The 16,457-nt window shown below is 35.7% G+C and overlaps 1 protein-coding gene across 7 annotated transcripts in view; it reads left to right on the top strand.

Annotated features, from left to right (window-relative positions):
- KCNH7 (potassium voltage-gated channel subfamily H member 7) overlaps positions 1–16,457 on the top strand; it is a 467,361-nt gene that overhangs the window by 308,032 nt on the left and 142,872 nt on the right. For all 7 annotated transcript variants that reach the window (XM_017005220.3, XM_017005219.3, NM_033272.4 and 4 more), the window contains exon 4: positions 12,578–13,006. In XM_017005220.3, coding sequence (XP_016860709.1) covers positions 12,578–13,006 — 429 coding nt within the window. The remainder of the gene's footprint in view (positions 1–12,577; positions 13,007–16,457) is intronic.

Genomic DNA, 16,457 nt, shown 5'->3' with positions numbered 1-16,457 from the left:
TAAAAAAAATAAAGAATAAAAAATTCTGATGCACCTCTTTTAGCAGACACATCTTAACCTTCAAAATTGTGATATTATTGCTTCAAAACCTACATTGTAACTACCAGCTTTTGTATCACTTGAAATGATCTGAAATAAAAATATGGTTACAAAGAAGTATACAATGGTATTCACAAAGGCGAATTTTAAACTGACATTTCCCTTTAACCAATGCTTACTCTCTCACTAAAGTGTTTGTAATTGTGTGTGTGTGTGTGTGTGTGCGCGCACGCTCGCGCACACTAGCGTGTCTCAGAGTGGTAGGATTTCAGTGACAGTAATAAGAAAAAGGTTGTTGTGTGTTTGGGAAGATGTTACTTTCTGAAAATTTAAATACCTCTATTGAAATAGAGACAAAATAAAGGAAAAGATGTGACATGACTACACAAGAAGCATAGCTTCAAACAAAGGGAGGTATTAAATTACAAAGATTAAGTAAAAGAAAAGGAGGGAAATACACAGTAGAAAATATGGATTATAAAAAGGCATTATGATACATTGGGCTCCATACATTCTGAAAACTTAGAGACTTCTTTTATATAGAATTAAGTGGTGGATCATTTCTCAGTACAAATACCTAGTTTCAGAGCCAGGAACTCTACACAAGAAAAGTGAGCAGCTTTCTCTCAGAAGACCTAATTTTTCATAAACTTATTCTCTGTAGAAGACCTGGAACTAGCCACAATTAGATGACTTATGTCCCCTGAAATGAAGCAAATACAGAAGAAAGTGTTATTTTGATAAATCTTACTATCAAATTTTGATAAGTACTGAATAAATGAGCCAATTAATTGCTACATAATAGATATAAACACAAAATAAAAGATGAAATTGAACACTTTCTCACTGAAGTCTTCTGTAAAAAGTTTGCAGTCTAAAAAATGGAAATAATACGGAGTGAAAGAGAAAATTGTGCATTCCCTACCAAGCATAAGGGGCCACATTTAAAGGAGCCAATAGTAATGGAAAAGTGTGTTCTCTTCTTTTCAGCTGTAATACTTGATGATGTAGAATATATGTGAAAAATGGAGGAGAAACAAATTATGCATTCTTGTTTACGTGATTAATGCCCGAGTTTACTGTCATCGAGTATAAGAGGTTTTCACTTTTACTGTTTTAAATAAATTATTTTTGTTTCATTTTAAATTATTGAAAACTATATTTGAATTTCATATGTCTTCTATAGCATGAATCTAGTATCATACTCTGATTCACACACAGATACATGCACACTTTTGAATTCTCTAAACATTTCTTGAAGGGATTGGGGGAACCTAAATTAAACAAAAATTGGTACTTAAATTGGATTCCCTTCTTTTACATTCCATGTCACCGCATTCCCTTGAGTCTTTCCACCTCTGTAACAGCTATTTCAGTACCATTTGTTGTTCCTCTTACTCTACTCTTAAAAGCTGTTTGTTTCTCCCCTGGGAGCTGCTTTTAATATTCATTCCTTCCTAGTCATCTCTATATACGCTGCTTAGGCAAACTCATTGTTTACTTACAGCGTAAAGACCCTCTCAAAAATCAGTATCTCCAGCTCATATCTTTCTTTAGGCTTACTTACAACCTCATATATCCCACTAGACATCTCCTTTAGAAGATTTTAGTATTTCTGGGCGATTTAGCATTTCAAGCTAAGAACTGCCTTTCCATCTTCAGCTACCATCCATTTCATCCCACCAAAAACTCTTCCTTTTCATACATTATGAATAGTCATTATCCAAAGCTCCCAAGCCAGAACCTCGGCATGATACTAAACTTCTCCTTCTCTCTAATCCTCTATTCTCCCAACCAAAGGCTAGCCAAGTCTATGAAACACATCTCTTAACTATCTCTCTCATATAGCCCACTATAATTGTCCTATTCAGACCCTCAACACATCTTTCTTGGACTGATATAATAGTCTCACAATTAGTATTCCTGCTTTAAGCTTCTTTTCTTCAGGATTACATGTTATATTGCCGTACATCACATCATAATAGTCCACTGTCTATATCTTTTACAATGGTCCTCTATTGCCTAAAATATAAGACTCCAAAGCCCTATGCATGGATAATACAATCCGCCTATCATGATATAGCTTCTGATACTTCTTCAGCCTAATTTCCCATCACATCCCATATTTTAGTGCGGGTTCCTTGAAGCTACCATTCACTTTATTCCACCTAATTTGTATCATGTGGTGTCCCCTCTACTAAAATGCTTTTCTTCTTCTAGCATACCTATTCCAAAGGACTCTTCATCTGTGGAGCATTCTTAACTCACCCACATGGGTCCTGTGAGATCATAATACCTCATACCTTTCTCTACTACCACGTTGGTCACATCTGTTTGCTTAGTAAACAAGTAACATGAATGAAGAAGGCCAGGAGTAAAAATATAGAGAGAAGTGAAGACTGGAAAACTGGAGAACATCTTTATCTTATTTGAAGTGGCCCATAACCCTTCAGCTCTACTTCATGGCAGGGACATTTTATTTTCTTCCATATAGACCTAATATTTTGCAAATAGTAAGTATCTAATACATGTTCGTAGAAGACATAAAAAGTTATTTTTTTCCTTTAATAATTAAGCTACTTTTTTCCTACTGAATGGGCATTACTCAGATTGCCTGCCAATGGTTCTTCAAGTGTGAGACCATCAGCATCACCTTGCAATGTGTTTGAAGTGCAAGTTCTTGGGCCCTACACCAGAACAACTGATTCGGAAACACAGAAATTCACCAAGCTGTGTTTTAACAAACACTTCAGGTCATTCTGATGCCCAAGAAGGTATGAAAACCATGGTCTAGGTTAATGAATGTTTAGCTAGAACTATAAAAATAAATTTTAAGTGAAAATAAATGTAAGAAATAACCTAAAATTTCTGAAGTATCTTATAGTAATTTTTAAAGTGTACTTTTTCATTTAATCTTATTAAGGATTAAAGGATATCCATTATCTTTGAAAAGATTAAAATTACACTTTCCAAATCAAAGAGGATTTTACTTTTACGCTTACTAAAATTTTGAATTTTTCTAAAAGCTTCAACTGAAGCTAAGCCTAACCACACAAAATATAGTTGATAATTTAGACAATTATCTAGCTAATTTAAACCATTAAAATTTTATTCATATGCTTTGGACTCAATACTCTAGATAATTGACACATAAAATACACATTTGCCTCAATAGCTACATTACTTCCTCAAATTTGTATCTCAGTTTTTAGACCTCAAGCTAAGGAACAAAGAAATTTTCCATAGAGCTGGTTTATAAGAGGGCTTTTACAGTGTTTTTACTATTCTCCACTGGAGCTGAAAGTCATTCTTTATTTTGAAGATGAAGAGCTGCAATAGTAATATAGTTTCCCATTCAGTAAGCATTACTATAGAAACAATCTCTTTTTCAGATTAATTTAGTTAAAGGTTTTATACTGTAACTAATGTTTACTATTCTCATGTATTTGGAAGTTTCCTCTTTTTAAAGATTAAATTTGACATAGAAAAAGGAAACATGGCATGGTTGCAAAAAAGAAATCTGAGGAAAATTTACTCAGAGTTGCAAAAAATTTTATGTCATGTGCCTCTCCCACCCCCCAGGATTTGAACATCGTATCTATTTCTAAGATCAAGAAAATTGCCAGTAGTTGAAAATGTTGCGGGAAGTCAGGGACCCCGAACGGAGGGACCGGCTGAAGCCATGGCAGAAGAACGTGGATTGTGAAGATTTCATGGACATTTATTAGTTCCTCAAATTAATACTTTTATAATTTCTTACGCCTGTCTTTACTGCAATCTCTGAACATAAATTGTGAAGATTTCATGGACACTTATCACTTCCCCAATCAATATCCTTGTGATTTCCTATGCCTGTCTTTACTTTAATCTCTTAATCCCATCATCTTCATAAGCTGAGGAGGATGTATGTCCGCTTAGGACGCTGTGATGATTGTGTTAACTGCACAAATTGTTTGTAGAGCATGTGTGTTTGAACAATATGAAATCTGGGTACCTTGAAGAAAGAACAGGATAACAACAATGTTCAGGGAACAAGAGAGATAACCTTAAACTCTGACCGCCGGTGAGCCAGGCGGAACAGAGCCATATTTCTCTTCTTTCAAAAGCAAATGGGAGAAATATCACTGAATTCTTTTTCTCAGCAAGGAACATCCCTGAGAAACAGAATGCATCCCTGAGTGTAGGCCTCTGAAATGGCTGCTTCGGGGGGGCGGCGTCTTTTATGGTCGAAGCTGTAGGGATGAAATAAGCCCCAGTCTCCCGTAGCGCTCCCAGGCTTATTAGGACGAGGAAATTCCCGTCTAATAAATTTTGGTCAGACCAGTTGTCTGCTCTCAAACCCTGTCTCCTGATAAGATGTTATCAATGACAATGAGTGCCCGAAACTTCACTAGCAATTTTAATTTCACCTCGGTCCTGTGGTCCTGTGATCTTGCCCTGCCTCCATTTGCCTTGTGATATCTTATTACCTTGTGAAGCATGTGATCTCTGTGACCCACACCCTATTCGTACACTCCCTGCCCTTCTGAAAATCACTAATAAAAACTTGCTGGTTTTACAGCTCAGGGGGCATCACGGAACCTGCCAACATGTGATGTCTCCCCTGGACACCCAGCTTTAAAATTTCTCTTTTGTACTCTGTCCCTTTATTTCTCAGACTGGCCGACACTTAGGGAAAATAGAAAAGAATCTATGTGAAATATTGGGGGTGAATTTCACCCGATATCTGGCTGAATTTCCCCCGATAGAGTAAAATACATTATTTATTCATTAACATGGATGTTAATGAATGCCCAAATTGGTATAACCACACCAGAGAGCCCCCATGTGAGTATCATTTGGAAGATTGTGTTACCTAGCAACACCCAATCAGGGACAGTCCCTATTCATACATACATACAGCATTTGGGTAATTGGTGTCTGTACCATTTGTGTTTGGAACAGTCCATCAAGAGAGTGTCTGTTTATGTGATGACTACATGATCATCCATGCTCAATTTTGGTTAAGATGTTATCACTTTCACAGGACTTGAATGGACTTTTTAATTTGACATTTACAAAATGAAGAAATCTATCAAAAAGAAAGTATGGGTATTGCATGCATTGATTTATTAAGCTGTTATTTTAAGCACATAGAAACTTAATTAGGTGTATATTATGCTGCTGTGTTTGCTTTCATTCCCAATCCCCTCTCACTGAGAGATTTTAACCCTAAGAGGCTGAAATCAGTCCACCATCTTGTCCTGTCTTCTGCCCTATCTCCCTTATCCAAATTCATGTTTCTGGCTTCTTTGCTCTTGTGATGACCCAGCCAGATCACAAGCAGTGTCCCTCAGATATTGTCAACATTTGCAAACATGTTTACGGGAATGCTGTTTTGCTGCTGCAGCTCCTGTAATTGTTCTCAAGCCTTGCTACAGCACTGACTTCCTCCAACCTCCACTTCCTGCCTTTAACTCATAACTTACAGATTCCAATTTGGTCCTATCCTCACTGCTTACTATAAGATCTTGCTTTTTCTTTGGTATCTAATACCCTAGGAAATGTCACAGGATTCTTAGTCTTTCATGGCATTACCGATCGGATCTGCTCCTTTAAAGAACCTCATATCTAGCTTCAAGTTTACTAGGTCAGTGGACTCCCTGGTGATCTTTTGTTATCACTGACACCAGGCCTGCGCTGGCTACAGTGGCCCATTTGTCACCCACTAATCAGGGTAGCCACTTGGCTAAAACTGAGTTCACATTGAATGATAATCTTTCCCGGTCTAGCTGCTATCTACATCATTCTTTGACAATATTCTGAGTTGTTCTACCAGCTCATAGGCAACGTCATATACCTTCCTACATATGTAGGAGTAGGAGTAGGAGAGACTCATGTCCTTGCAGGATCCCTCTATGAAAATTTTCTTCCTAAAAAGAAAAGGCAGCTATGTTAGTCATTATCTCTGTTTATCCCACCACATTTTTCTTCTCTCTCTGATTCAGGAGTAAAAGTCGTGTTTCTCTGCAAATCCAGGGTTATGTGGTTGGAGAAAATTCTCACACTGATTTTAAGGCTTCAAATTTAATGTCGGGCTTGTAAGTACTCTGACATTAGAAGGATACACAGATACCAATTCACACATCCTTATTTTGTGTGATAATAGCTGATTGTAGGCTTAATTCAGATCATAATTTTTCAGGCCAAAAGATGGCTATATTTCTCTCTCTGTACTGGACACTGTGGCCCTAAGCCCAGACATCTTCCTTAGGGCTGAGACAGCCCAGCTGCTGGAAATACCAGCTGTTCCAGGTACACTGCTGCCCCTCCCTGGAAATTGTAGTTTAAGGCAGGAAACTACCTTATCCAGCATTATGGCCTTTGCCGTGGTGTGGCTATAACCAGTGACTCGTAGATACAGGGATGCAAAGGCCAGGTACCCTGGCTTCAATTTGGCAGAATTCTGAAGGGGCTATCCCTGCATTTGAGCTCCAGGAGGACTGGCCGATGCTTCAGCTCCATTTGAAAATCAGTTTAACTTCCTCTTCTTAATCCTGTCTTTTTAATAGCCATAACCCATGAGAGTACTCCCTCAATAAGCCTTTTCACAATCTACTTTCAGGAATCCAATCTAAGATACCCTCCCACCACCCCAACCCTTTGTGAGGGGACAGATCTCTGCTTATGACCTTTACAACAAACCTTACTTTACTCCCCATACAGATCCTCTCCTATTTCATCATGGTGTCTAATTTGCTTGACTACTTGAACTTAAGTTTCCCTCTACTTTTCAGTCCATAATTCAACCTAGCAGAACCAAGCAGGAATAAAACTGCTTCTAATTATATTTAATTGGGTTTTTGCAGTAAAAATATGACATAATCAAGGTTCTAAGAATTTATAGAAATGATGAAAAATTGAGTGAAGGAGATGATTGGAAATTTGCAGTTGTATTGTGAGAAAAATCAATGATTGAAAGTAGATGGATAATTTTGCAGAGATTTTTTGTTTTTCCACAAGAAAATGATTGTTTCTAATATCCCTATATGTAGTCTTAAGTTAGAAGAATTGGTTGAAGTCAAAAGTGGGTGTCATAGTTTTCTTCCAAACTGTAATAGATGAGAATCAATTCACACAGGAAAGAAGTAGGGAGAGAGAGAGAGAGAGAGAAAGAGGGAGAGAATATAGTAGCAGCAGATGGATGAGGTCTTCTCAAACTGGAAAAGTTTAGTAAAGCCAATTTTTGAAGCCCCATTACCATAGGAAATAGGTTATAAATGTAGTTGTTATCATTGTAATTTTATGAGAAATGTGACTAGCACATATATGTAAGCAAATAAATTGAAAACTAAAAGGAATATCAAGAATCAACTAATCTTAGGGGATCTTAGGGGAGGTCAATGTTGAAGGGCTTTGGTGGGAGAAGGGTGAGTTAGTTATTCAACTTCTGAAATCATAAGCAAAATTGTGTGTATGCATTTATCTATATTTATTTCAAAGAGAAATCAGGATTTTCATTAGATTCTCATGTAGATATTTATGACCCAAGAAAACACCAAACCTTGGGTAAAACTAAAATTAATCACGGAAACTGCTGTTTTGTGCTAACCTGACGTGAATTTTCTGCATGAATTTGGCAAAATATTTAACATTTTTGCATGTATAGATTAAAGTGATAATTATAGACTTTTCACAGAGAAAGATGATGGGACTATCTATGTTTTCTTGGTTAAGAACCAAAAAGTTGTTAGTTACATATGCCAGGATTGATGAAGATGCAGCCTCTAAATTTATATTCAGCATCTTCACAAAAATGACATGTCCTGAGAAAGACATTATAGTAGTAGTTAATTATAACTACTATAATTATATTCATGCATATTAACAACTATATGCCTTCTTAGATGAAAAGGATGTGTTTAAACAAAATTATAATCATGTAAGCAGTTTACCAGTACTTGTAATTCTTTCTGGAAATGTGTAAAAGTATGTGCAAAACTTTATTCTGTTTCTCTTATTTCACATTTATTGAGCATTATAGTAAATAGGTTAAATAGTATCTATTTTAATTATTCAAGTTAGAAATCAAATATAATAAAATCTGAAGACTTAACTTACAAGGATGATTTTCAGTGTTAAGATCCATAACAGGATTACACTCATCTATGTTTTATATTTCATGCCTGAAAGTGCTAACATTGAGCAAAATTCTCAATGTGCATTCTTTCCGGATGAACTGCAGTTAGACAACTAAATCTGTAATGCAATATAACATGGTCCTATTAACCTAGTGATGCAGAAAAGACCATCTGTACCACACTGGATATGACTAAACTATAGGAATAAACTAAATGCCTATGTGGTAATTAATTTAAGAAAGCCAGTGAATTGTTTTTTAAAGGAGGAGTGTAAAGTAAATGATGAAAAATTAATAAAAGTAGTCATTGACTTTCAATGCATCGTAATAAGCTTGCAGAATTGATTTGTAAACTGCTTTAAAACTCAATTTCATGTGCATTAAAGACTAATCAAATGACTTCGATGCAGTTCACTGATTTTCAACTTGGCAATTACTTGAGCATATAAAAGTTATTAGTAGAGATATGTAAGAATGCTTGCAAAACAGTTGTCACGATGCACTGTTACTTAATCTTATTTGCGCAGATTGGTTACTCTTATCTTTGTCTTATTAATCCAGAGTTTAATGTTGAATGTACTCGTGGTTTGTCTGCACATTGTCATGTCTTTTACCATAGAGAGAAGTAGTAGAATGATGGTTACCAGAGGATAGGAAGGGTAGCAGGGTACGGGGTGGGGGATAAAGTGGGGATAGGTAATAGGCACCAAAATGTAGTTAGATACAAGGAATTAGATCTTGTGTTTGGTAGCACTTTAGAGCAACAATAGTTAACAATAATTTAACAAATATTTCAAAATAACTAAAAGAGTAGAATTGGAATGTTTCTGACACAAAAAATGATAAATGCTTGAGATGATGCATATCCCAATTACACTGATTTGATCATTACACAATGTATTCTTGCATCAAAATATCACATGCACTTCATAAATATGTACAACTCTATATCCATAATAATTAATAATAAAAATGTTTAGTTCTATTGCAATGATTTGTGTCACTATTAACTGCTAGACCACAAATGAAAGCTTATAATAATAAAGTGGCCTTCTTAAATTCTCAAATTTTCTGTAACAGGTGTTTTACATAAATTTCATCAATGAGTTAAATCAAGTAGAGAGGACGTGGTATAGAGTTCACCATTTTCCATGAACTATTGAGTTCTACTCAATCAACATTTTTTGTTAAATATCAGTCAGTACAATTCCAGGAGGTTAAGATTCTCTAATTATTATGGCCAAAGCAATTAAATATTCTAGTTTTCCTACAGTCAAAATTGAGCACATTCTGAGTTCAGTTTAGAATCTGTTTGTGAAAATTCATTTACCATGCCAAGTCATTCAGTCAGAGCTGGGACTCAATGCTAAGTAAGCAAAATAGCCTGGGGCCCTGCCCTTCTGAGGCCTATGGGCCAGTCATGGAAAAAATGTTAAACAGAAAATCAACAAGTGCATAATTATTAACTGTGGTGAAAGCTATGAAAGGGGTGGTAACCTGTTCAGAAGGAAGGAAAAGCTTACCCATGAAATCACTTTGGTGCTAAAATCTAAAGGATGAGCTCAGTAGGTGAAGTAAAAAGGATCAAACAGAAAGAAGCCATGAATCTGAAAGAAGCACAGACCTCAAGGGGAATTAAAATTCCATATGACTGGATTCTAGAGAGCAAAGAACAGAGATGAAGCTGCAGGATGGAGAGAGTTTTGTCTTCCATCCCCAAAGAGAAAGTTATTGGTAGCAGGGGAGCACAGGGGAAGGGTGGAATTGTGCAATAGTTTACATAATCATATATTAATTTTTCTTTCTTTAGAGATAGGGTCTCTCTCTGTCACTTAGGCTGGAGTGCAGTGGCTCAATCATAGCTAACTGTAGCCTCAAACTCATAGGCTCAATCTATCCTCCCACTGCAGCCTCCCGACTGGCTCGGACTACAGGCATATGCCACCATACCTAGTTTTTTTTGTTGTTGTTGTTTTTTTATAGAGATGGGGGTTCTTGCTATGTTGCCCAGATTCATCTCAAATGCCTGACCTCAAGAGATCATTATGCCTTTTCTTCACGAAGTGCTGGCATTACAGGCATAAGCCACTGTGCCCATCTTCTGAATTTTTTTAAAGATAAAAATTATTATTTTTAAGGGTGGACAATAATGGTACAAATGTGAAGAGTGATAGCATTTTCTTGCAAGAAATTATGTGAACCAGTATAGTAGCGTGGAAATATGTAGGAACAGTGAAGATGAGAGAAATGAAAACAGATATTCAGGAGGTGAAATCAATACAATTAAGGGATTGATATTAATGGAATATTGGGGATGAGTGGAAGAGAGAGAACAGTATCTAGAATGGTCCTCAAGTCTCAGGCTTATATGACTGGATGGATTGTGATGCCATTCACTAAAAAAAAAAAAAAAAAAAAAAAAGCCTGGGCTTGGAGGGTCAGATTATGAAACTGGACTTGTTATAAGATTGTAAGGTGTCTTTCAAGTGGAGATGTTGATGAATCTATTAGATATACAATACAGGTTTGGAACACAGAGGAGAGGTCTGGGCTGGAGATAAATATTTAGGAGTCATTGGAGTGAAGACAGAATTAAATATGTGCATGTAGAAAAAAACCATCCACTGGGAGAGTATACTCAAAATGGAGAAATGTTCATGAGTTTTGAGAGTGTTCTTCCATGTTTTAGAAGCATCTTCAGTGCATTGAGGAAAAGTTCATAATAAATATATTAAAGATAATGGTGTCTATGACATTTAAATAATATAAGAAGGTAGTTAATATTGCAGCCCAAAGATTTAAGTTGACTGACCATAAGGTCAGTGTGTAATTGTAAAGCCATGGATAATGTGGACCTAGACTACTGTGGGAACAATAAAAATGACAATCTTTGCATTTTCTTGTAAATCATACTTAGAGAAGCTTTGGGTTACAGATTATTGTTTGGATACTTTCTCCTATGTTTTTATGTTCTTTGAGGAGTGGAAGTTTTACTGTATTAGTTTTTTTAGTTTATAAACAAATTCATGCTTGACATAAAAAAAGATACATAAAGAAGAATGCATACATTATATCTCCCTTCTTCCAAACCCACCCACTGAGCTAGTCAACATTAAAAGTTTGAAGCTTTTATGCAACATATATGAACAAATATAAGCTTTTGTTTTTTTGATGAAAATTATGTGAACACATGGAGTTTAAACTTGCTTTTTTTACTTAACGTTATATTTGAGCAACCTTTTAAAGAATATCATAGGATTCCAAATAATAAAAATGCCATAATTTATTCAGTAATTCTCCTTCTAATGGATAATCCAATTTTTTCTAGTTTTTATGCCTTTGCAATATCCCATATGTGGATTACTGAGTCAAAATAAATGTATATGTTTTTTCACTTTAATAGATATTGTCCAAAGACTTTCCAAAGAGTTTGCAGCAATCTGCAATCCCACCGCCAAAATGTCAGAATGCTCCCCAGCATTCTTTGCCAGCACTAGATGTTATGCTTTCTTTCATTTACTGCAAAATTGAAGACTAGAAAAATTATATCCTCTTGTATTACTTTGCAGTTTTTACTACTAGTGAGTTTATATACCTAACAATTAAAGTTTAATATTTTAATGTTATATTTATTAGTTAATATTTTAATTTTTAACATCTGCTCTTTAAAGTTTGTATTTACTTGTCCTTCTGTGCATCAGCCACTCTGAGATATACATAACATTATATGCCATACTATCCAATTTTGGAGCAAAAAAAAAAAAAAACAGAAAACAGGAAAAAGAAATCTTTACCAGTACAGTACATCGCTCTTTAAAACCAAAAGTCTTTAAGAATTCCAGATGGAATGATAAACCTCTCATACACAGTTGACCCCACTTTTCCCACCCAAACTCGACTCACAATATTATTCAATACAAATATTCTAAATATGCAAGGTCTATTCTTTACCTCACCTCACTTCCTTCCTGCCTGTTCCAACACATTAGCTCCCCATCACCCATACATGTATGTAGGCTATACTCACTCCTGTGTCTATCCCTGGACTTATGATGCCTTAGATCATATATTCTTAAAACTCTGTTCATCCTTCAATTTCCCTAGAAAAGTGGATGTATAGTGGATGAATGTTTTTATTTTATTAAAACTAAAAGTCTCATGTCATCAAAATACTTTTATGTCACTGATGTGGATCTAATCATCAGAAATATGATAAAATTATGTACTGTTTTCTTGCTATTTATATCATACTTCACATTGGTCTCAGAGAAGTTTTCTACAATATCCTCTATTCCAACTATAACCATTGATTCAAAATTATTTTTACATGGTGTTTAAATATGAGTCAACAATGTTTGTTTTTGTTACAGGATATATCATTTGCCTTATAATAATGCTCTCTCCTGTCTCCATTTATAGGGAAATTTTTTGGGTTCAAATTCCCTGGTCTGAGAGTTCTCACTTACAGAAAGCAGTCCTTACCACAAGAAGACCCCGATGTGGTGGTCATCGATTCATCTAAACACAGTGATGATTCAGTAGCCATGAAGCATTTTAAGTCTCCTACAAAAGAAAGCTGCAGCCCCTCTGAAGCAGATGACACAAAAGCTTTGATACAGCCCAGCAAATGTTCTCCCTTGGTGAATATATCCGGACCTCTTGACCATTCCTCTCCCAAAAGGCAATGGGACCGACTCTACCCTGACATGCTGCAGTCAAGTTCCCAGCTGTCCCATTCCAGATCAAGGGAAAGCTTATGTAGTATACGGAGAGCATCTTCGGTCCATGATATAGAAGGATTCGGCGTCCACCCCAAGAACATATTTAGAGACCGACATGCCAGCGAAGGTATGTTTGATTTTTTTTTAAATGGAAACATATATTAATGGGTAATAAATGATTATTTGCATATTGTTTGAAATTTCAACAATAATCTCTGTGCATTGGGGAAAGAAATGTGATTAAAGGCTATTAAAAACCTGAGTCCTACACTCAGAGTTGTTACTGATTTCCTCTTTGAACCCTTGTGAGTAATTTAGTGTCTTCTGGCTTCTTTATCTGTATTTCTGAAATAGTATGATAACCATTATCTGCCTACCACATGGAGTGTTAATTAATTAATGCTTATTATAACATGTGCTTAGGTAATGAACACTATCATCTCAAGCATAGTTAATTTTGCTGCATTTAGCAAATGATCATGCCCTGGGAAGAAAGAATTTGTGCCATCAGAGGGCTAGTTCATTGACCGACTCTTTCCAAAGGGAGCAGCATAGGAACTGTGATGTACTGAGTGATCAGAAAGCTGTAAGCTGACAGGGGTGCAAGGTAGGTAGGATGAAGGGGAAAAATTTAAAGGGAAAAAAATCCTGAAAGTCCTGATCTCAACAAAAATCGACTTGAAAAGCAAATCAGAATTTATTCTCCCTGGCCTCTTTGAACATTATGTTCACATTCTTACATTAGCCAGTAGTGAAATTAAGGATCCTTAAAAAAAGCAGTGGCAGAAACTATTTATCATGAACATGGTAATTGATAACATCGGTTAAGTACTTACTGTGTCTGAGGCAATGTAAGTGCTTGATACACATTGTCTCATTTTACTCTCATAAGAAACCCAAATTAGGAATCATTTCTAAGCCCTATTTAGTAAGTGAGGAAACAGAGGCTTAACTATGTTAAATAAATAACATAAATAACTAGACTAAGGTTACAGAGCTAGTCAGTGTCAGAGCCCGGCTTCAAACTCAGGACTGCCTGTCTCCATAGTCTACAATCAAATCCATGCAATCTTTTTCCTCCCTCACTCCTGCTCCTCCATGAAACCTTGCCATAGGAGGAGTCTGTTGAAACTCTTGACTTTCCCCAGGGAGTCCAAGAATCAAAGTTCCTGGCATGGGTACATCAGACCCGCTTTCCAGATTCCCATAGATTTGGTTCTTGAGAGACCTGCTGTCCAGGCTACTGCTAGTTTTGTCTTTAAAACATTAATTCTTAATGTGAGGTGTTAGGCACTTTGTCAGCTGATCACACTTATTTTTCTAGCCTCATTTCTAGCCCCAGCAAGACTCCCCTCCCTATTACATACTCTATTCTACATCTGCACAGATATAATTTGCCTTTTCCCAAAAATGTAACACGTGTTTTCTTGCTTCATTACTTTGTTATTCCTGGAATACTCTTCCCTGCTTTGTCTCTCCTTACACTACCACTCAGCAGCAGGGACCCATTTCCCCCTTCCCAAACCAGAAGAATTAAATCATTTCACACTCGAGTGTGCAAACCAATATTTACATATAGTGTAGCATGGATTGCATTTTATATTTATTGTGTATTATATGTCTGTCATTCTTGTCAGATATGTAAGCAAGCAATTATGTTGCTGTGAGCGCCTCCAGCATAGGCACTCTGGCATAGTGAGCTCTGCACCCTTAGTTTCTAGCACAATTGTCTACTTCATGGCAGATACGCGATAAATATTGGTGTAACATTGAGAAGACCATGTGATGTTGAGGGGACTGTGCTTGCGAGTTCTGTTTCAAAATCATGCAGATCAGAAAATAATGAGTTATCTGCTCCATCATACTCTGAAGTTAAACGAAGTCTTAGGAGTAAATCATATAGAGGATCTTTATCTAAAGGACACCATGAAGTAGAGAAGGCAGAAGAGGTGAAAGGAAGAGTTGGCAGGAAGAAGTTCAAAGAAAGATAAATCAATAGCTCAGAAAAAGATACAAGAGCAATTAGCACATCTATTTTAATCTGTGGGCCAAAGAAGGTCAAAAGGAAAAAAGAAAATACAAGGCCAATTCCCAAATTGGATAATCATCTAAGGCCATATCCCATTTAGTAATGGCAGGCTCAATATTTCCTGACAGAATGAAACCGCTAGAATTTGATCTTTGATCAGTGAGTCCTGTGGCTAAACAGCAACAATAAATTCAATATGGTAATTCAAATGACCAGCATATGTTTTAGTGAGTTTAGTTAGTGTAGTCACTTTTAGCAATCATACTGACTTTTCAGAAATTGCCTTTTCAGAGATTCCCTAGAGAGATCCTGACTTATAACAGTAGTATAGTAAAATTCAAAAACAACAAATTTGAAAATCAAACTGATACATAATCAGTGCATTTTACTGACTTAGCCTGTGTTTGGACAGTGGTGCTGAGTAGTTTAGATTAGATTTCTTGATTTAACTTCATTGTTTTTAATTTATATGATATCCATTTAGTGCACAGTTACTGATACAATTATGAGAAAGAATGATTTAATATTTTTGGATTTCTCAGTACGGGTGCTATACATAAACATTTGGTGCTAAGATCATCCTCGATTTTTCCCCCTCACCCAAAGTAAGCTGTTATAAAAAAAAATTACTTTCTTACAGATTATGCTAGAGTCAACATGTGACTATAGATTGATAAATTCAGAGGGTATTTTCTACTTCATCTTTAAAGAAATTTTAGCTACAAAATCACTGATTAGCAAAAAAGAAACTACATTCCCTAAGACTTTATAATTTGGTATATTTTAGAAATAGAGCCATTGATAAGGAAAGATGGAAAACTTTTAGAAGTGATTTTAGTTTTATGAATTCATGTAACTGATTAACAGGTGAAATCATGCACAAGATTTCGAAGTTGGGTTGTTGTCTCCTCATTGAAATAAATAAAAATGTTCTCCTGTACAGGCTATCTTCACAGAACTTTAAATATTTTGCAGATATATTAATGAATAATATTTTACCTTATCCTCTCATTTAATCCACATTATCAAGAACCTTAGAACCATACTTTTCAAACCATCTTTGATGAAGAACCAGAATTTTGTTTTCTAATTCATCACTGACCAATACATTTGTGAAGCCAATAAAAATGTACTACTGGAAAAATAAAATGTAAAAAATAGACATAAAATATAAACCCCAATTGTTTTATTATTAGATTAATCAGACATGAAATTACTCTGCCAAACTGCTACAAAAGATTCTAAATATTTACTCCAATTTCTGTACTTGCATTGTCATGGAAGAATAACAAGCAGATCTCAGCTAAGACCAGTGCACAAGCCACACTCTGCCTTGGAAGGTCAAAGCTGTAATAACTATATAATGTAATGTTTTGTTAGTTTTCTTGGAATTGGTAAATCTTTACATATAATTTTTAGGTTTGATAAGTACAGTTATAATTTATAACTACTTGCAAGCAGTTGTTACTTTACTAATGGTTTTTGGACCCAGCTTCTGACAGACACATTCATTCTGAGTAATCAAGATCTCTTCCACTATCTCTATTTG

The sequence above is a fragment of the Homo sapiens genome, chromosome 2, assembly GCF_000001405.40.
Source record: "Homo sapiens chromosome 2, GRCh38.p14 Primary Assembly".
Classification (NCBI taxonomy): Eukaryota; Metazoa; Chordata; class Mammalia; order Primates; family Hominidae; genus Homo; species Homo sapiens.
This window is presented reverse-complemented; position numbering and strand designations above follow the sequence as displayed.